The sequence below is a fragment of the Homo sapiens genome, chromosome 3 (genome assembly GCF_000001405.40).
Source record: "Homo sapiens chromosome 3, GRCh38.p14 Primary Assembly".
Taxonomy (NCBI): Eukaryota; Metazoa; Chordata; class Mammalia; order Primates; family Hominidae; genus Homo; species Homo sapiens.
Genome location: NC_000003.12, coordinates 45,638,454 through 45,659,134, shown reverse-complemented (window position 1 = coordinate 45,659,134; position 20,681 = coordinate 45,638,454). Strand labels below are relative to the sequence as shown.

General features: G+C 44.1%; 1 protein-coding gene across 1 annotated transcript in view, besides 2 other annotated features; it reads right to left on the bottom strand.

Annotated features, from left to right (window-relative positions):
- LIMD1 (LIM domain containing 1) overlaps positions 1–20,681 on the bottom strand; it is a 91,591-nt gene that overhangs the window by 27,207 nt on the left and 43,703 nt on the right. The window lies entirely within an intron of this gene.
- Positions 11,541–12,042: an enhancer, noted in NCBI's record as "H3K4me1 hESC enhancer chr3:45688585-45689086 (GRCh37/hg19 assembly coordinates)". NCBI's record gives its function as "activates a minimal SCP1, AML or CMV promoter by ChIP-STARR-seq in naive H9 embryonic stem cells {active_cell/tissue: H9 hESC(naive)}" and the evidence as "EXISTENCE:reporter gene assay evidence [ECO:0000049][PMID:30033119]".
- Positions 19,784–20,078: an enhancer, noted in NCBI's record as "tiled region #10324; HepG2 Activating DNase matched - State 5:Enh". NCBI's record gives its function as "activates a minimal TATA promoter and a strong SV40 promoter by Sharpr-MPRA in HepG2 cells {active_cell/tissue: HepG2}" and the evidence as "EXISTENCE:reporter gene assay evidence [ECO:0000049][PMID:27701403]".

Genomic DNA, 20,681 nt, shown 5'->3' with positions numbered 1-20,681 from the left:
CTTTCTAGTATTAGGTACAGTGACAGATGGTATTAGAGAGAAATTTCACTTTACTTCACATATTTCTATATTAAATTTTTCTAGAAATATGTATAATATGAAAAAATACTTTTAATCTTAAAAGAAAACCCTTATGTTATAATGTGAAAAGTAAAAAGCAAGATTTAAAAATTGTGCATCTCAACTATATAAAGAAATTCAAAGAAAAAAAGACTGGAAAGGAAATCTGCCCATGAGTGGCAACGCCTCTGAGTGGACATATTTAGAATCTGCATGGTGAGGCCAGGCACGGTGGCTCATGCCTGTAATCCTAGCACTTTGAGAGGCCAAGGCGGGCAGATCGCCTGAAGTCGGGAGTTCAAGACCAGTCTGACCAACATGGAAAAGCCCCCTCTCTACTAAAAATACAAAATTAGCCAGGCATGGTGGTGCATGCCTGTAGTCCCAGCTACTCAGGAGGCTGAGGCAGGAGAATCACTTGAACCCAAGGAGTGGAGATTGTGGTGAGCTGAGATCACACCATTGCACTCCAGCCTGCAATGAGCAACATGAGCAAAACTCAGTCTCAAAAAAAAAAAAAAAAAAAAAAAAAAAAAAAAGAATCTGCATGGTGGAGGGGATGGTTTATTTCCTAGTTGGTTGCTTCTATATACTTTCCTACACTTTCCCAAAGATTTACCAATGAGCAGGTATTGCTCTGATCATTTAAAAAATTGCCCAGCTGGCTAGATAAGTCCTCTTGCTGCCAGTTCCCACAGCTGAGAATTCCCATGTCCGGACACAGGAGGCCAGTACAGGGGGTTGGGGGACTACGTCTGATTTTCCTTTATTCCAAATTTTAAAAAACTGAGACTCCCCCACTGACCTAAGAGGGTGGGGCTTAGTTTGCTCTGAAGAACTCACACTTCATTTTTCACTTCGGTTTTGAAAGACCACCTGAGGTTAGAAACTGGATAGTGTATCAAAATATATTTGTTTGTATTCTGAGTGGGAGAAAAGCCTAACATCTACTGATTGTCTTCTGTGGTCTAAGTACTATGTTTAGGGCTTTCACATATATTTTTAAATGCTTGAAAACTTTGCCACACAGGTTACTGCATCACTCCACCTTCTGACCCTGTACTGTCACATGCCTTTTACGGAAGAAACTCACAAAGTCATTTCCTACTCAAAGCCATCACCTACTCCAGGTTTCAGTGAGCGTAGAAAGGGTTCAGTAAAGAGTCGGGCAGAAATAAAACACATCACATGTCAATGTCATGGAGCAGTACAAGGATACAGGAATTGATTATTTTTGGGAATCACTTGAAATCACACCCAAGGATTACTCCTAACTTTCTGGAGTAAAAATATGATACTTATGAATTACACATTATCGTTTTCATTTCATAAGTAAGGAAATTGAGGCTTACCCAGGTAGTAAGTGGGCAGGATGGGAACCCAGATTTGTCTGACTGTGAAGACTGTGCTTGTTCCACTGCACCATGAGGCCATGCAGCAGTATTTAATGCTTGTTGGATGCACACCTATATGCAGAATCCAGTTTCTCTCTTCTGCCAGGAAATGGGACAGGCCTTTCTTTCTTTTTCCTTTTTTTTTTTTTTTTTTTTGAGACAGCGTCTTGCTCTGTTGCCCAGGCTGGAGTGCAGTGGTACAATCATAGCTCACTGCAGCCTCGAACTCCTGGTCTCAGCAATCCTCCCGCCTTGGCCTCCCAAAGCGTTGAGATTACAGGTGTGAGTTACCATATCTGGCCGGAAAAGGGAATTTTCATTCAAACACTTTCTAGGTACTGGGCCTTTTACTTGCCTCATGTCTCACTTAAGTGTCATGAACAGCTCCGTAAAAACTCCTTGTGATGACAGGCATTTAGATGTAACTTGATAGGTAACCTTCCACTTGGAGACAGGCTAAAGTTTGTATCTTTGGAGAAAGGGGGTTGCTGAGAGGAGGCTGAGGCCAGGTAGGAAACAGCAAGCAACCTGGTGCTGAGAAGCAGGGAGGCAGAAAAGGTATTCTCCAGGCTGAATCACCCCAGATTTGGCCAATGAAACAGACGCCAACTAACCTGAAAATTCCTGGAATCACTGCCACTGTCCTGAAAGTTCCAATCAAGAGCAGGATCCAGAATCCTCCTTATTGACATTTAAGCTAGAGCACCCAACCGCCACTAGGTGGTGCCAAACCACAGCCAGGACAAGGACAGGTTGAAGCAGCACAATTTACCCCAAGCCAGCCAGCCCTGGAGGCCTGCTTGAGTCATTTCATTAATCTTGCAATAATGTGCCCTGACGTTTGGGCAGTTGAAACTCACTTGTCGGCTGGGCGTGGTGGCTCACGCCTGTAATCTCAGCACTTTGGGAGGCCAAGGTGGGCGGATCATGAGGTCAGGAGACCAAGACCATCCTGGCCAACATGGTGAAACCCCGTCCCTACTAAAAATACAAAAACCAGCTGGGTGTGGTGGTGCGTGCCTGTAATCCCAGCTACTCAGGAAGCTGAGGCAGGAGAATCGCTTGAACCCGGGAGGCCGAGGTTGCAGTGAGCCGAGATTGCACCACTGCACTCCAGCCTGGCGACAGAGTGAGACTCCGTCTCAAAAAAAAAAAGAAAGAAAAAGAAAAAGGAAACTCACTTACTATATTACGGTTGAGTTACTGATGCTTTTTTTTTTTTTTCTGATGGAGAAACAAAAGCTAAAGAGGTTAAATTCACCTATGTAGCTAAAAGTTAAATAGAAAAGTTGAGATTCGAACCCAGGTCTCTCTTGTGCAAAGTCAACACTCTTTCCACCACACTATACTGTCTCTCTTGTTTTCTGTTCCAAAAGGAATATCTCTCAGACTAAGGGGAATGTCTTAGTCATTTTAGGCTGTTAGAACAAAATACCATAAAGTGAGTAGCTTAAACAATAGACATTTATTTCTCACAGCTCTGGAGGTTGGAAGTCCAACATCAGGGTGCTAGTAGGGTCAGGTTCTTGGTGAGGATCCAGTTCCTGATTTACAGATGGCTGTCTTCCTGCTGTTTTCTCACATGGTGGAAAGGGAACTAACTACATCTCTGAGCTCTTCTTATAAGGACACTAATCCCATTCAGGAAGTATCCACTCTCATAACTTAATCACCTCCCAAAGACTCCACCTCCAAATACCATCATGTTGGGATTAGAGATTCAACATAAGGATTTGTGAGGGGGCGGTATAAACGTTCAGTCCTTCCAGGGAAGTAGATGGATTTCCTGGCATTCCCAATTAAACTTCCTTCTGCTCCCTTGAAGAGGCAAATTTCACTGTCCTCACTGACTTGTTATGGCGGCTCATACGTAGAGACGTAACACTAGGGAGCTGCTGCGGCTTTGGCAGAGCTAATAAGGACAGAGGACAAAATGGAATAGCCGAGGGATAAACACCAAAAACTTAGGTGGTTCTCAAACCTTAGCATGCTTCAGAACCACCAGGTGAGTTTGTTGAAACACAGACTGCTGACTTAGTAAGTGTGGGAAGGGGCCCGAGACTCTGCATTTCTAGTTAAGTTCCCTAGTGATGCTGATGGTGCTAGTCCAGGGACCACACTTTGAGAACCACCAAGTCAGACTATGCCTCAGGCTTGTCTCTGAACTGGCACTTCCATTTGATGCTGTTCATCTTGGTCAAAAATGCTAAGACCTAAACCATCCCTGAATAATCAGCATCAAACATAAACTGGGGGTGGGAGTGTCAGTGTTACATCTTTATAATTCTAGTTTCAGAATCGTCCTGCTTCCAGTAAAGGAATTCCCTCCACTAGGAAATAGCTGATGATCGTCACACTAAATATATACTCAATAGACCATTTTTACAGTTTAGAAGACAGTAGTCAAAATGCTCTTTATTTTCTTTATTTACATCAGCCGTTTATAAAATATTGACTGATAGGCCGAGTGTGGTGTCTCATGCCTATAATCCCAGCACTTTGGGAGGCTGAGGTAGGCAGATCACTTGAGGTCAGGAGTTCGACACCAGCTTGGCCAACAGGGTGAAACCCCATCTCTACTAAAAATACAAAAATTAGCCAGGCCTGGTGGCGTGAGCCTGTAATCCCAGCTACTCAGGAGGCTGAGGCAGGAGAATCACTTGAACCCGGGTGGCAGAGGTTGCAGTGAGCTGAGATTGCACCATTGTACTCCAGCCTGGGTGACAGAGTGAGACTATGTCTTAAAAAAAAAAAAAAAAATTGACTGATAAATGTGCAGACTCACAGAGAATCCACTCCAAAAAGACACTTCCTGTAGATGTAGTGAATGAATTTTTTCTTTTTTCTTTTTTTTTTTTTTTTTTTTTTGAGACAGGGTCTTACTCTGTCACCCAGGCTGGAGTGCAGTGGTGCAATCTCCTCCTGGGCTAGAGCAATCCTCCCACCTCAGCCTTGAGTAGCTGGGAACACACGTGGATGCCACCATGACTGGCTAATTTTTTGTGTGTATTTTTAGTAGAGACGGGGTTTCACCATGTTGCCCAGGCTGGTCTCAAACTCCGGGGTTCAAGCTATTCACCTGCCTCAGCCTCCCACAGTGCTGGGATTACAGGTGTGAGCCACCTGCAGGCCGTGAATGAGTATTTTATATTTGCCTTCAAGCCATCCTCAGTTTAAAAGAGAAAAATGCATCTGATAAAGCCGGTGTAGTTTAACAAAGGAAACAAGAGTTAAGGACATCACAAAGAGAGGTCAGCCATTTAATCTGACAAAACTAAAACGTGCAATAATACTCACCACTCTTCCTTCCCTATAAAATAGAAATAAGCTATAACCTATTCTGGAAACATAACTGGTCCTTGGCGGTAAGACTCCACCACAAATTTCAGTTCCAAAATATCTCCCTGAGAAGTAAAAATGCAAGGGTTTCCCAACAATGAGAAGAGTTTCCGAGAAAAGAAAGTAAAAATCAGTAGTCACTTGGATTGTTTTGATTGTACTGTCCCAGTTAGTGACTTCTACCTGTACTGTCCATGGTGGCTACTAGCCACATGTGGTTATTTATGTAAGTTTAAATCAATTAAGATAACATCAAAAATTTAGCGCCAGGGCTTGAACAAGTATATCTTGAGTACTTGATGGCCACTTGTGACTAGGGAAGCTTTAGAATATCTGCATCATCGCACAAAATTCTAACCAATCTACTTCTTCAAATAGCTTTTCTAGAATAGGTTCTTTTTTTTTTTTCTTTTTCTTTTTTTTTTTTTTTTTTTGAGACAGTCTTGCTCCGTCACTCAGGCTGGAGTGCAGTGGTGCAATCTTGGCTCACAGCAACCTCCGCCTTCTGGATTCAAGCCATCCTCCTGGCTCAGCCTCCTGAGTAGCTGGGACTACAGGCATGCACCATCACTCCCAGGTAATTTTTGTATTTTTAGTAGAGATGGGGTTTCACCATGTTGGCCAGGTTGGTCTTGAATTCCTGACCTCAGGTGATCTGGCTACCTCAGCCTCCCAAAGTGCTAGGATTAGAGGCATAGGCCACAACACCCAGCCCCAGAATAGGTTAACTCTTAAAAGATATTGCTAAAAACAAATCAATTTGGTTTGGCTCAAGTGAAGGAGAGATCCAGCCTCGATTTTGCAGGCTTGCCAAGCCTCAGTAAGCCAAGGAGCACAGCAGAAAGGGGCAAAGTGGAAAAGCACTCAGGCTTGGGGTCCAACCTTGCCTTTGCCCCTTCCCTGAAATGAGACCCTGGCTGTCACCCAAACCCTTCAGGTTCCCTGGTAAGGATAAAAGTGGGATCACAGTAGGGAACGCAGCCCAGTGCACCTCATACCAGGCATCTGGTGTGACTGTTGCCAGCATCCCTACCTGACCTTCCGTTTCCTCAAATGACACCCACCAGAGCTAAGAATCATAACCACCACCCTCTCTCCCTCCTCATCCAAATCCCCTACATCACTCCTTCCTTCTCAGTTTATCTGTGGCAAAGGGCTAGGTATGGGAGGCTTTTGTTTTTAATTTCCATCTGTCAGACTTATTATCTTGTAAAATACAATAATATAGAAAAATGAAACATAAAATCCAAGCCCCAACTGTAGTTATTATCCAATTCAACTGACACAAAGCCACTCTGTCAAACTCTTAGGAAGGTCTCTAAACGTTCTCATCTCTTTCTCGGCCTTTGCTGGTGCTGGCCAAGGACCATGTTCTGAGCACTGCTGCCTCACGCTCCAATTCTCTTCTCACGTGCCACTCCAAAGTCTTTGTCTTATAGTTAGTTTTCCATTTCCCCTATTCCAGGCTATTATCGTCTGGATCAGAGATGAGAATACTGCACACAGAGACAACCCAGAGATGTGCAGAGGGTCTCCGTTAAGTGTTCAGCAGAGCATGGATCAGCTCTTGCCTGTGAGGAAACTAACCAAAGTCAGAGGACAAACATCTGCAGGATTCGCAAGAACAGTGCCTGGCACCCACAAAAGCTGGAAACAGTGCCTATTCCCACCAGCCCTGAGAATGAGGAATAATAGAGCCCTAGACTGAGCTCTGCTTTGAATTCATCTAATAAATCATAAAAGCAAGACTAGAAAGAATCACTGTTCCTAAATAATTTAACAGCATCCCAGAACAATGCTCAGAAGATTGAAAGAATACAAAATATCCAAGACTCAAAAAGGTAAAGTTTACAATGTCTGGCAGCCAATCAAATATTCCCAGGCATGCAAAGAGGCAGGAAAGCACAACCCACAGGGAAGAGAATAATCAATCTATGGAAATCAACCCCGATCAGACACAGATATTAGAATTAGCAGAGAAGGACATTAAAAGCTATTGTTTCTATATTCAATATGTTGGAAATGTTAAGTAGCAACATGGAAAATATTTAAAAGGCTCAAACTGAGCTGCTAGAGATGAAAACCAAAATGTCTGAGATAAACAATACATTGGCTGGCCGGGCATGGTGGCTCTCACCTGTAATGCCAGCACTTAGGGAGGCCAAGGAAGGCGTATCACTTGAGGACAGGAGTTTGAGATCAGCCTGGCCAACATAGTAAAACTCCACCTCTACTAAAAATACAAAAATTAGCCAGGCATGGTGGCTCATGCCTGTAATCCCAGCTACTTAGGAGGCTGACCCGTGAGAATCGCTGGAACCTGGGAGGCGGAGGTTGCAGTGAGCCGAGATCACACCATTGCACTCCAGCCTGGGCAGCAGAGCAAGACTCTGTCTCAAAATAAATAACAGGCCGGGTGCGGTGGCTCACGCCTATAATCCTAGCACTTTGGGAGGCCGAGGCAGGTGGATCACCTGAGGTCAGGAGTTTGAGACCAGCCTGGCCAACGTGGCAAAACCCTGTCTCTACTAAAAATACAAAAATTAGCCAGGCATGTGGTGCATGCCTGTAATCCCAGCTACTTGGAAGGCTGAGGAAGGAGAATCGCTTGAACCCGGGAGGTGGAGGTTGCACTGAGCTGAGATCATGCCACTACACTCCAGCCTGCACAATGGGGGCAAGACTCCATCTTAAAAAAAAAAATAACCATCTGATCTTTGACAAACTTGACAAAAACAAGCAATGGAGAAAGGATTCCCTACTTAATGGTGCTGGGAAAACTGGCTAGCCATATGTAGAAAGCTGAAACTGGATCCCTTCCTTCCACCTTACACAAAAATTAACTCAAGATGGATTAAGGACTTAAATGTAAGACCAAAAACCATAAAAACCCTAGAATAAAATCTAGGCAGTACCATTCAGGACACACGCACAGGCAAGGACTTCATAACTAAAACACCAAAAGCAATGGCAACAAAAGCCAAAATAGACAAATGGGATCTAATTAAACTAAAGAGCTTCTGCACAGCAAAAGAAACTACCATCAGAGTGAACAGGCAACCTACAGAATGGGAGAAAATTTCTACAATCTACCCATCTGATAAAGGGCTAATATCCAGAATCTACAAAGGACTTAAACAAATTTACAAGAAAACAACAACCCCATCAAAAAGTGTGCAAAGGATATGAACAGACACTTCTCAAAAGAAGACATTTATGCAGCCAACAGACATATGAAAAAATGCTCATCATCACTGGTCATCAGAGAAATGCAAATCAAAACCACAATGAGATACCATCTCATGTCAGTTAGAATGGCGATTATTAAAAAGTCAGGAAACAACAGACGCTGGAGAGGATGTGGGAAACAGGAACGCTTTTACACTGTTGGTGGGAGTGTAAATTAGTTCAACCATTGTGGAAGACAGCGTGGCAATTCCTCAAGGATGTACAACTAGAAATACCATTTGACCCAGCCATCCCATTACTGGGCATATACCCAAAGGATTATAAATCATGCTGCTATAAAGACACACGCACACGTTATGTTTATTGCGGCACTATTCAAAATAGCAAAGACTTGGAACCAACCCAAATATCCATCAATAATAGGCTGGATAAAGAAAATGTGGAACATATACACCACGGAATACTATGCAGCCATAAAAAGGATGAGTTCATGTCCTTTTTGGGGACATGGATGAAGCTGGAAACCATCATTCTCAGCAAACTATCACAAGGACAGAAAACCAAATACCGCATGTTCTCACTCATAAGTGGGAGTTGAACAATCAGAACACGTGGACACAGGGAGGGGACATCACACACTGGGGCCTGTTGGGGGGGGTGGGGGGCTGGGGGAGGGATAGCATTAGGAGAAATACCTAATGTAAATGATGAGTTTATGGGTACAGTAAGCCAACATGGCACATGTATACCTATGTAACAAAACTGCACATTGTGCACATGTACCCCAGAACTTAAAGTATAATTTAAAAAAAGATACATAAATAAATAACAAAAAGCTTTTTAAAAATTTTAGAAAAGAGAATACACTGGATGGGATTAATAGCAGATTACACCATGCAAGAGAAAACATTAGTGAATTTAAAGGTACAGCAATAGAAAATGTCCAAAATGAAATGAGAGGAAAAGAACTTTTTAAATAACGAAATGGGCATAAGTGAGCTCTGGGACAACTTCAAGATGCCTAAGATTGGAGTAATTGGAGTCCCTAGTGGATGGGGAGGAATGTGAAGAAATAGATTTGATGAAGACTGACTACAAACACACAGATCCAAGAAGCTCAACAAACCCCTAAGCACAAGAAACATGAAAAGCACACCAAGGATATCATAATCAAATTTCTCAAAATCAATGATGAAATCTTAAAAGCAGCCAGAATGGGGGAAAAACATGTCACATACAGAGAATAGAGATATCAGATTTCTCATTAAAAAAAAAAAGGGAGAAAATAGTAAAAAAAAAAAAAACAAAAAAACTTCAAGGAACTCAAAAAAGTATCAAGCTAGAATTCTATATCCAGCAATATATATATTTTATATATATAATTATATATATAAAATATATAATTATATATAAATATATCTATATAATTTTATATATATATATGTATACATATATATAATTTTTTTTTTTTTGAGACAGAGTCTCACTCTGTTGCCCAGGCTGGAGTGCAGTGGTGCAATCTCGGCTCACTGCAAGCTCTGCCTCCTGCGTTCACGCCATTCTGCTGCCTCAGCCTCGCCAGTAGCTGGGACTACAGGCACCCGCCACCATGCCCGGCTAATTTTTTGTATTTTTAGTAGAGACGGGGTTTCACCATGTTAGTCAGGATGGTCTCGATCTTCTGACCTCATGATTGGCCCGCCTCGGCCTCCCAAAGTGCTGGGATTACAGGCGTGAGCCACCGCGCCCAGCCAAAAAAATATATTTTAAAATAAAAAAATGAAAGAAAGATAAATTCAGAATACAAAAGTTTAAAGAATTCATCACCAAATCAGCATACGAAAAAGAAAAAATGTTAAGAGAAGTCCTTCAAGCAGAAGGAAAAATGGTACCAGATGAAAACCTGAATCTAAACAAAGGGATGAGAAGGAGCAGAAATGGCAAATGCGAGGACAAGTGAGACTTTTTTCTTATTAGTTAAATCTCTTTAAAACATTTAGAAGAAAACATGGACATGAATCTTTGTGACCTTGGGTCAGCCAATGTTTTCCTACAAAAAGCACCAAAACACTGGCAAAAAAAGAAAAAAAGTAGATAAATTCTACTGCATCAAAATTTAAAGCCTTTGTGCTGTAAACAATACCATCAAGAAATGAAATGACAGTCCACAGAATGAAAGAAAATATTCCCAAATCCTATACAAAGAACGATTAAGACTCAATAATAAAAAGACAATCCAAGTAAAAATGAGCAGGGAATTGAGAAGACATTTTTCCAAATAAGACATACCAATGGCCAATAAATGTATGAAAAGATGCTCAACATCATTAATCATCAGGAAAATGCAAATCAAAACCCACAATGAGATCCAACTTCACACCAAATAGGATAGTTAGAATAAAAAAACTAGATAAGCCTAAGCGTTGGCAAGGATGTGGAAATACTGGAACTCTCATACATGGCTGGTGGGAATGTAACATGGTAGAGCTTCTTTAAAAAACAGGTCCTCAAAAGGTTAAACACAGTTACCATATGACCCAGCAATTTCACTCCTAATATTTACCCAAGAGAACAGAAATGATACATTCACATAAACACCTGCCTAGGAATGTTCATAGCAACATTATTTATAATAGCCAAAAATAAAAACAAGTGTCTATCAACTGCTGAATGGATAAACAAAATATGGTACATCTATACAAGGGAATACTATTCAGCCATAAAAAGAAATGAGATACTGATTCATACTACAACGTGGATGAACCTGGAATGCACGCTAAGTGAAAAAAGCCAGACACAGAAGATCATATATTGTATGATTTCATTCATATGAAATATCCAGAATAGGCAAATCTATAGGGATAGGAAGATCAGTGGTTGCTTAGGGATGAGGGAAGGTGAGTAAGGAGGTGAAGTGATGAGTACCAGGTAATGGGGAAGTGTCACCTTTATTTATTCCAACATTTATTCTGTGTTCAGAATTATACTAAAGGTGCTGAAGGGTTATAAGGAGTAAAATCATGATCAGTTAAACCCTGTCCCTATTTTTCCCAAAACTGATCACCTAGGGGGAGATAGAGATTCCTGCAAACAGTTTCAATCTAATCATAATTGAAAACACCATAGGACAGGCAAATGAAGGGTGCACATGGGACCCAAGATCAGGAGAGTAGCAATGGAGATGGCAATGGAAGACACTGAAGGGAGAGTGATATTCACCTGGGTGGTGATGGAGGCTAAGGGTGACAAGGTACAGGGGTAGAAAAGGACAGGTGATGTGCAGTGTGGCCAGGGACTTCAGCACTTCGGGAGGCTGTGGGGCAGCGGAGGAGGGGGATAGTTAGAAAGAAAGAAGACAGGAAGGAAGTTAGAACTAATTTAAGGAAATGTCTTAAACACCAGGCAAAAGAACTGGACTACAATGTTAAGGCAAAAAGTAGCTGAAGGTCTCTGAGCTGTGGAGTGGCCTCCTCGCTGCTGTGCCCAGAGACCAGACTGGAGGTGACAGCAGTGATCCATGCAAGAGACAGAGACGCTCTGCCCAAAACAGGGCATATGGGACCCTGCTGGCATCCAAATGCCACCAATGGTGACCATTGCAGGGCTGCTGCGGATGTGGAGAGGCAGCTGTCACCCTGCCCCTGAACACAGGGAAGGGCCTGCATCCTCTGGCCAGGCATTGGATTTGCCGGACCCCCAGGCTGACCCGTGCCCTGCTATGCATCTGGTCCTTGAAAACCTGGCCACAGGATCCACACTCAGCCAGCCTCAGTACTCCTGGGAAGAGTCTGGGAGCTCCCATGGTAAGAGTTCACTTCCCCTTTAAACTTTAACTGGCAAGAAGGTTATGTTGGCTTTGAGTCATCAAATCAACAGGATCTTACGCAGCAGATGGTTATGAAGACTATGAAGCAATGAGGGAAAAGGCATATGATATATTTCTAAGTGGAAAAAGCAGGGCATAAAAGCAAACATACACTGTGATGACAACCAGGCAAAAACGTCTATGTAGGCACAGCATACATTTTTGGGGGTTCTTTTTGGTATTGAATTATAGGTGATTTTCTTCTCCCATATACATTTTTTGACAATGTGACTACATTGACTTGGTGATGTATAAAATATCAAAAACAAGAAACTTCATGAATAATTTCCTACTAATAAGTGAACTCTGGCTAAGATTTAGAGGCCGGGCATTGTGGCTTGCACTTGTAATTCCAGCACTTTGGGAGGCCAAGGCGGGAGGATCACTTGAACCCAGGAGTTTGAGACCAATCTGGGCAACATAGTGGGACTCCAACTCTACAAAAATTAATTTCAAAAAAATTAGCCAGGGGACTAAAGGGACTGAGGTGGGAGGATCACTTTAGCCCATGAGGCAGAGGTTGCAGTGAGCCATAATGCAGCACTGCACTCCAGCCTGAATGGCAGAGTGAGACTGTCTCAAAAAAAAAAAAAAAAGATTTAGGAACAAGAGGCTTTACATGCAGTCCAATACAGTAGCCACAAGCTGTACATGGCTACTAAAATAAATTTAAACTTTAATTAATTAAAATGAAATAAAATGGAAAATGCAGTTCCATAGTCACACTAGCCACATTTCAAGTGCTCAAGAGCCCCAGGTGGCCAGTAGCTGCTGTGTTAGATGGTGCAGGTCTACAGGTCAGAGAGAGGCCAGAGGACTGAAGTCCACATGAAGGTCAAGTGGGCTGGTGGTGAGGCCCACTGCAGGGCCACAGCCAAGTTCCCAGCTAACTTCATCACAATCCCCCAGGATGCTCCCCCTGCACACACAGATCTCAGAAATCAGGATCTCTGCAGGCAGAGGCAGAGGTCGGCACTGCAACAGGCCCCTTGTGATGGCGACTGACGCACAGTGAGGGGTGAAGGCCATGGATATGGTGGCAAGTGTATACACAGTGGCCACCTGCCCCTGGGCACGAACACACTTCCCCACTCACCAGCTGGGCAACCGCTCTGAGACCCCATGACCTCTTGTGTAAGATGAGTGTGGCTGGAAGGCAAGCAAGGGACATAAGAAGACAGCCACGTGCAGCTTGTGGCTACTGTACTGGACTGCATATAAAGCCTCTGGTTCCTAAATCTTTTTTTTTTTTTTTTTTGAGACAGAGTCTCGCTCTGTCACTCAGGCTGGAGTGCAGTGGCACGATCACGGCTCACTGCAATAAATGCAATAAATGCTCCACAGACAGCAGCTTGTATTACACTGGCTTACAGGCATGGATCCACTGATGGGCAACTATGGGTGCAAACAAAACTGTTGGTGAAAGGAGGAGAGAGGAGGGAAGGGAAAGAGAAGGAGAAGGAATCTGAAGGGGCCAGAGCCAGGGGCAGAAATCTAAGAGAAGAGCTGAGAGACACATGAAGAAGGGATACCCTCAGTGAGATGAGAGGGCCACAGAAACCTGAGGAGTGCCTACAATGCCAGAATACAGTCAGGCCTAGGTAAAAGAGTTTACTCCCTAACCCAGGACTCTGGCTCTGAGATGAGGCACTGCGGTGCAACATCTTCCTGCTAATTACGGTGTGATGCTCCTGGCGTACTGGAGTGCTCTTCATTCTCCTCTTCCACTTGAGAAGACAGGTGACACCCTGGGCACCGCCAAGTATCACCCTTGGTCTGGGACTACCACGGAGGAAAGGTACAGACTTCCAACAAAAACCAGACATGTGCAATATCAGGAGCTTAGGATGCAGACATGGCCACATAAGGTATAGGTTACACCAAAGTTAGCCTCTACAATATACTGCGAAACCTCTCAGACTGTGTTCAGACGATAGGAACAAAGGAATCTGATGGTCTTCCCTGTCAGGGACTTCCTGGCCTCTGACTGAACCAGCAGAGTCTGACCTGGGAAACCAGGTTTGGCCCCAACTCCAGTGCACTAGCAGAACTAGGCTTGCAGGAGACGGACACAAGAGACCCTTTGATAACCAAAGTAAGTGGCCCCTCCACTCTCTTCCGATCCCTGCAGCCCTCTGGCCAGCTCCAGCCTATTTTGGTTGCTTCCTGATCTTTCCTGTGCCCACTGATTTCCTTTAGCATCTGCCCACTCTTCCTTTCTCACATTCTTGATCTTCAGCTTTTTCCTTAGGTCCTGCTGACTCATTCAGCTCATACAGAACTGCTGAATATGATGAGAAATATTCGGACAATTCGACAGCTCAGAAACTCAGGGATTAAAGCCCTTAGTCCATTTCTCTACTATGGGTGCATCCCATGATTGAATTCTACCTCCCCTATTCCCAGCCCCAGGCCACTCTCCTGCACTCACAACTCGAGGGTGGCCAAAAATCCAGTCTCTGTTGTCACACAACCCCAAGGCAGCGGCTGAACCTGAAAAGTCAAGGCAAGGCCCCATGGCTACAGCCCGGCTCCTGTCTTTGGCAAATACTCTCTCTAAGCAAAGGTAATTTAATACAGTGGCTAACAGCAAGAGCTGTGGATCCACAGGTCTTGGGTTCAAGTGCTGACCACACCACTTAACAGTGACGAAACCAACCACAAACTAAACTCTCCAAGCCTCAATCTGTACATCTTAAGTTGAGAGTAATAATAATAATGAACGTTGAACTCCCTGAATTGTTACAGGATTTAGTGCGCCGCCATGGGTGGAGGAGGGTTATGCGGTGTCAGGCCCACGGTAAGCTAGAAAGCTTACCCAAAATTATCTATAAATATCGCAGTGACTGTTTTACAGAAGCAGACCTGCATGAATTAAAGGAAGACCTCCCTAGTTCAGGCTTAACTCATTCAAAATGTGTAAGCATTTTCAGGGGCTGGGTTGACGAGGTCATTTACAAAGTCAACAAAAAAGGGAAAGGATTTCAGATGCAGTATTTAGACTTTGTAAGAAAAACAAAATAGCTGGCAAGAACCCTCCAGTCCTTCAGAGGCGAACTAACTGGTGAGTCAATCACCAAGGACTTATTCATTCGCTAAGAACCTCTGTTCCACAACACTAGGCTTGGTCCTAATTGTTTTATTTATCTCAAGTAACAAAATGGCATTTTGTGAGTGTTCTAGATGCAGGCTTTTTATTACTAAGAAAGGCTTTCTTCCAACTGGGTCTCAACAAGTGAGATTTTACTATAAATCCCATTCGCAGTCTTCAACAGCCATGGACATTCGGTTTTTGGAAGGTGAAATGAGCAATGGTATATAATCTTAGTTTTGCTTTTTTCTCCCCACTAAGGCATGGCTGGCAGGTCACAGTGCATCTTACACCGAGCAATACAAACAGTAGGTTACACCACTGCAATTCATTCTGGCCTTGACTTACACATTCCAGCACCATCCCAAGTGGACCCCGTCTGGCCCTCTGCAGCCTTCCACTGAGCTCGGACCTGCACTAGGCGTAATTTCTGTCAACTGTGGGACTGGCTGCTTCCCAGCTTCCATCCCCAAGGTGGGCACCCCCCTGCTCCATGGGCTTCTGGCGGGGAGAGTATATTTACCTAGTCCATCATTTTCCGTCTCATATCACCGAAAAACTAATAGGAATCATGACACTAACATGGCAAGTAGGATGGAATTTGTTTAGTCTGTGAAATGAACGTCTTAGTTTTTAAACCTCAATCTGCCTGGAGTGAGCACACAGGACCTTGCCTACTTCTCCCTCACAGACCATTCTTTTTTTTTTTTTTGAGACAGAGTCTCACCCTGTCGCCCAGGATGGAGTACAGTGGCGCAATCTTGGCTCACTGAAAACTCCGCCTCCTGGGTTCAAGTGATTCTCCTGCCTCAGCCCCCCAAATAGCTAGTATTATAGGCATGTGCCACCACATGCGGTTAATTTTTGTATTTTTAGTAGAGATGGGGTTTTGCCACATTGCCCAGGCTGGTCTCAAACTCGTGACCTCAAGTGATCTACCCGCCTCAACCTCCCAAAGTGCTGGGATTACAGATTGAGCCACCACGCCTGGCCTCCCAGACTATTCTTGAAGGTGCCGAGAAGTCCACTCAACCCCACAAGTCAGCGTGTTTTTCCTCCTCTCATGCTGCTGCTTCTGAGGCACAGGTGGGAGCCAGCCTCCCTCAGACAGGCCACTTGACATGTAAGTAGACACAGCTGTCAACAAAGGCCACTCCTGTCCTCTCCACAGACCTCCCTCCCACTCCAGGGTGTGCCAACAGCTTCCTGAGAGTGTCCAGTGCCAGTGGGGGGGCATGGCCGCCTGGGGTGGGCAGAGCCTGAGGGGAGAGGAGGGAGACCCACAGCACTCATCTCCACGGCAACCAAACATTCCCAGCCCAAGGAGCACAGCAAAGAAGAAGGGAACTTGAACAAACCACACAAACGCCCACACCACAACCTGATGCTTACTGCTGGAACGAGCACCAAGGAAACAATCCCACAGAAGGAAAGAAAGATGCTGCACGAAGATGCTGGCTGGGGCTGTGTGTAACAACCTGCAAACCAGCCATTAACTGTGGCACAACTCATCCATCACCATGTAACTTAAAATTATTATTATGAACTATGACATGATGTTAAATTGAAAAGGATACAACATTGTTTATATACTATGATCGCAACTCTAAAAAATGTGTATAAACTTGGGGAAAACCTGGCAGGGAAAACATAAAAGTGACAGTAGCTGAGCTACAATGCTAACATAACAGGTTTCTGTCTTTAAAATTGTCTTTGCAGCAGCCAGATGTGGTGGCTCATGCCTATAATCCTAGCACTTTGGGACGCCAAGGCAGACAGACTGCTTGAGCCCAGGAGTTTGAGACCAGCCTGGGCAACATAGCAAGACCCTGTCTCTACAAAAAATAATAAAAAATAGCTGAACATGGTGGTGCATGTCTGTAATCCCAGCTACTCAGGAGGCTGAGGCAGGAGGATCGCCTGAGCCCAGGAGTTCAAGGCTGCAGTGAGCTGTGATCCCACCATTGCACTCCAGCTTGTACGACAGAGCAAGACCCAGTCTCAAAAAGAAAAAAAAAAAAAAGATACAATTTTCTCACAGCTTTCCCCATTGCTGCTTCTCATCAGCAGATGGGGAAATGTTCATATCCGTGTAAGGGAACCTGCCATGGTGCCTGGGAGAACTGCACATAGCCATGTATGCAAAGGTTTGCCTGAATCTTGGTGGAACACCTTGTAGGCTTCCAGAACATAAAAAGATGCACGGCTGTCTCTCATTCACCTCCCTATTCCCCCAGGAGCCTGTCACCAGACAGTGTCTCATCTCTAATGAGGTATGGGAATTTCTGCCTGCCTCTCAGAACAGAGCTGTGGGCTCTGAGACCACTTAGCTGCAGTCTAAAATTGCTTCTCAAAATCCCACTTATGTGGCAGTCATCAGCCCCTTTTGCTTCAGTGTCATCCTCTTCAGTGTATGGGACAAGGACCCAGGAAGATGGTACCTTTGACACATTCTTTGTGTTGCCTGCCTATGTAAGTAATAAACTGCCTAAAGTAACAGTGGCTTGTTGTATCTTTACCAAACTAGTCAGGCCCTGGACTTGCCCTGTAAATGTGTGTGAGCTTAACAGTATCCAAATACCATGGTTTAATGCAGTATCAATGGACCTCAGGAAGTATGTGTATATACCAACAGATACCTCCATATGCCATATGCTATATATATATAAAAAATATAAATAAAATAAAATATATATAATTATATATAAAATCTGGCTTTACATACTATATATAGTGTTTTAAACTAGATTTTCATAATTGAAATGGGAAAATAGAAAAGATACATATACAAGTATGTTCAGAAATACACACACTCACCAGACTCTATCAATAACCAAGATAAGATAAAGAACAGAGAAAACACACTTATTTTTGCTTGACTAGGTGGAAATAAATCAGAGGAGGGAGAACCAGAAAAACAAGGAAGTACAGGTGAGCATAGATTCAAGAGGTCTGGATTCCATGCCAGCTCCATAGCCAGGTTTTTGACCTTGAGAAATTCTTCCCCTGTCTGCCCCCATTTTCTCTTCTAAGAAGGAGGGGATGCCCTAGATGCACCCAGACCCCCAGCTGTGCCGTCTCCATGGTGTTGAGGCTCACAGAGACACACTCAGGACCTGCAGAGCTGAGACACAGAGCTCCCGGGTGCCTCCTTCTGCTGAAAACTGAGGTAAAGGGCAGCAATCTGGTAACTGAAAAAAGACAAGTCACCTCCAGTGTCTAAGAGAAGCCGCTGAGACACAAGCCCAGTCTCCAACATTCCAACTGCTCTTTGGAACTGGACAGGAAGTGGGACATTCACAGAGCAGGAGGGTGTGCAGCCCCAGGGCAAACAGCAATGCCCCTGCACTCACTTTTTGACAAAATCCGAATCCTCATTCCTTCAGCAACTCTGTTCTAGGGCCTGGTTTGCTGGCAATAGATCCACAGAGAATGAGGTTCACCATCTATGTAATAACACCAACAAGGGTTGGGAGTGGTGGCTCACGCTTGTAATTTCAGCACTTTGGAAGGCCAAGGCAGGCAGATCACCTGAGGTCAGGAGTTCAAGACCAGCCTGGCCAACATGGTGAAACCCTGTCTCTACGAAAAATACAAAAATTAGCCGGGCCTGGTGGTACATGCCTGTAGTTCCAGCTACTTAGGAGGCTGAGAGGCAGGAGAATCGCTTGAACCCGGGAGGCAGAGGTTGCAGTGGGCTGAGATCATGCCACTGCACTCCAGCCTGGGCAACAGAGTGAGATCCGTCTTAAAAACAAAACAAAACAACAACAACAACAAAAAACAACAAGAAAGCAGAGTGCACCAAATTCAGGAGAAGTCTCTTCCTGCTAAGGAAACAGGGAAGGCTTCCTGGAAGAGGAGGCATTTGAGCTGAGTCATAAGACTGGACAGAGAAATGTATTAAGTGAATGGGGAGAGGCTATTCTAGATAACAATGTGATCAGAGGCATGGAAGTGAAAAAGAGAAATTCAGTTTGACTGGAATAGGAAACAGGAAGTGATAAGACAGGGACAAGACCACAAAGGCCTTCAATGCTAGACCAATCAAAAACCCAAACCAGGTCTGTCTTCCTTAAGTGTCTGTGCTTGTCACAATTTGAAGAAAGAGAAACTCAATCCATTAAGAAATAGACAGCCACTCTAGCAGCCTTGGGTGGAACCCACAGACTCATCTGCAATGGGCTGAATGTCTATGTCCCCCTAAAATTCCTATGTTAAAATCCTAACCTCTGGCCGGGCATGGTGGCTCACGCCTGTAATCCCAGCATTTTGGGAAGCTGAGGCGGGTAGATCACCTGAGGTCAGGACTTCGAGACCAGCCTGACCAACATGAAGAAACCCTGTCTCTACTAAAAATACAAAAATTAGCCAGGTTTGGTGGCGCATGGCTGTAATCCCAGCTACTTGGGAGGCTGAGGCAGGAGAATCGCTTGAACCCAGGAGGCGGAGGTTGCGGTAAGCCGAGACTGCGCCACTGCACTCCAGCCTGGGCAATAAGAGCAAAACTCCATCTCAAAAAAAGAAAAAAAATCCTAACCTCCAAGGTGACGGGATTAGGGGGTAGGGCCTTTGGGAGGTGATTCTCATGAGGTGGAACGCTCAGGAATGGGATTAGTGCCCTTATAAAGGAGATCCCAGAGAGCTCCCCTTCTACCATATGAGTGCCCGGGAAGTGGGCCCTCAACAGACACCTCATCTGCCAGCACCTTGATCTTGGACTTTCCAGCATCTAGAACTGTGAGAAATACATTTCTATTGTTTATAAGCCAACCAGTGTATGGTACTTTGTTATAACAGTCCAAACAGACTAAGACGCTCATCAATTGGTTTTCCCTCACCAACAGCTTCCCTAATTCAAATGGTAACTGCTTGAGGTGGAAAACAGCCTCTCCTTAATATTTATTTTCTTTTTCCTGAAAAATAGAGCAAGTATTGAGAAACTGTTGTAGGAGTCAAAGGTCAAAGATAAATTGTAAACAAAGATCTGATACAAGCAGCCAACAAACATGAAAAAAATGCTCAAGGGTCAGGTGTGGTGGCTTATGCCAGTAATCCCAGCCCTGTGGGAGGCTGAGGTGGGAGGGTCACCAGAAGTCAGGAGCTCAAGACCAGCCTAGGCAACACAGCGAGACCTCTGTCTCTACAAAAATTTTAAACCATTAGCTGGGCATGGTGGCACATGCCCGCAGTCCCAGCTACTCAGAAGCTAAGGCAGAAGGGTTGCTTGAGTTCAAGGCTGCAGTGAGCTACAATTACATCATGGCACTCCAGCCTGGATGACACAGTGAGACCCCATCTCAAAACAAAACAAACCTCCACATCATTATCATCAAAGAAATGCAAATCAAAACCACAAAATGGCCATTATTAAAAAGTCAAAAAGTAGATGTTGGCAAGGCTATAGAGAAAAGGCAATGCTTATACACAGTTGGTGGGAGTGTAAATTAGTTCAGCCACTGTGGAAAACAGTTAGGAGATTTCTCAAAGAACTAAAAATAGAGCTACCATTTGACCCAGTAATCCCATTACTGGATATATATGCAAAGAAAAGTACATCTTCTACCAAAGATACCTGCACTCGTATGTTTATCACCACACTATTCACAATAGCAAAGACATGGAATCAACCTAGGTGCCCATCAGCAGTAACTGAATAAAGAAAATGTGGTACATATACACCATGGAATACTACACAGCCATAAAAAAGTGACATCATGTCCTTTGCAGCAACATAGAAACA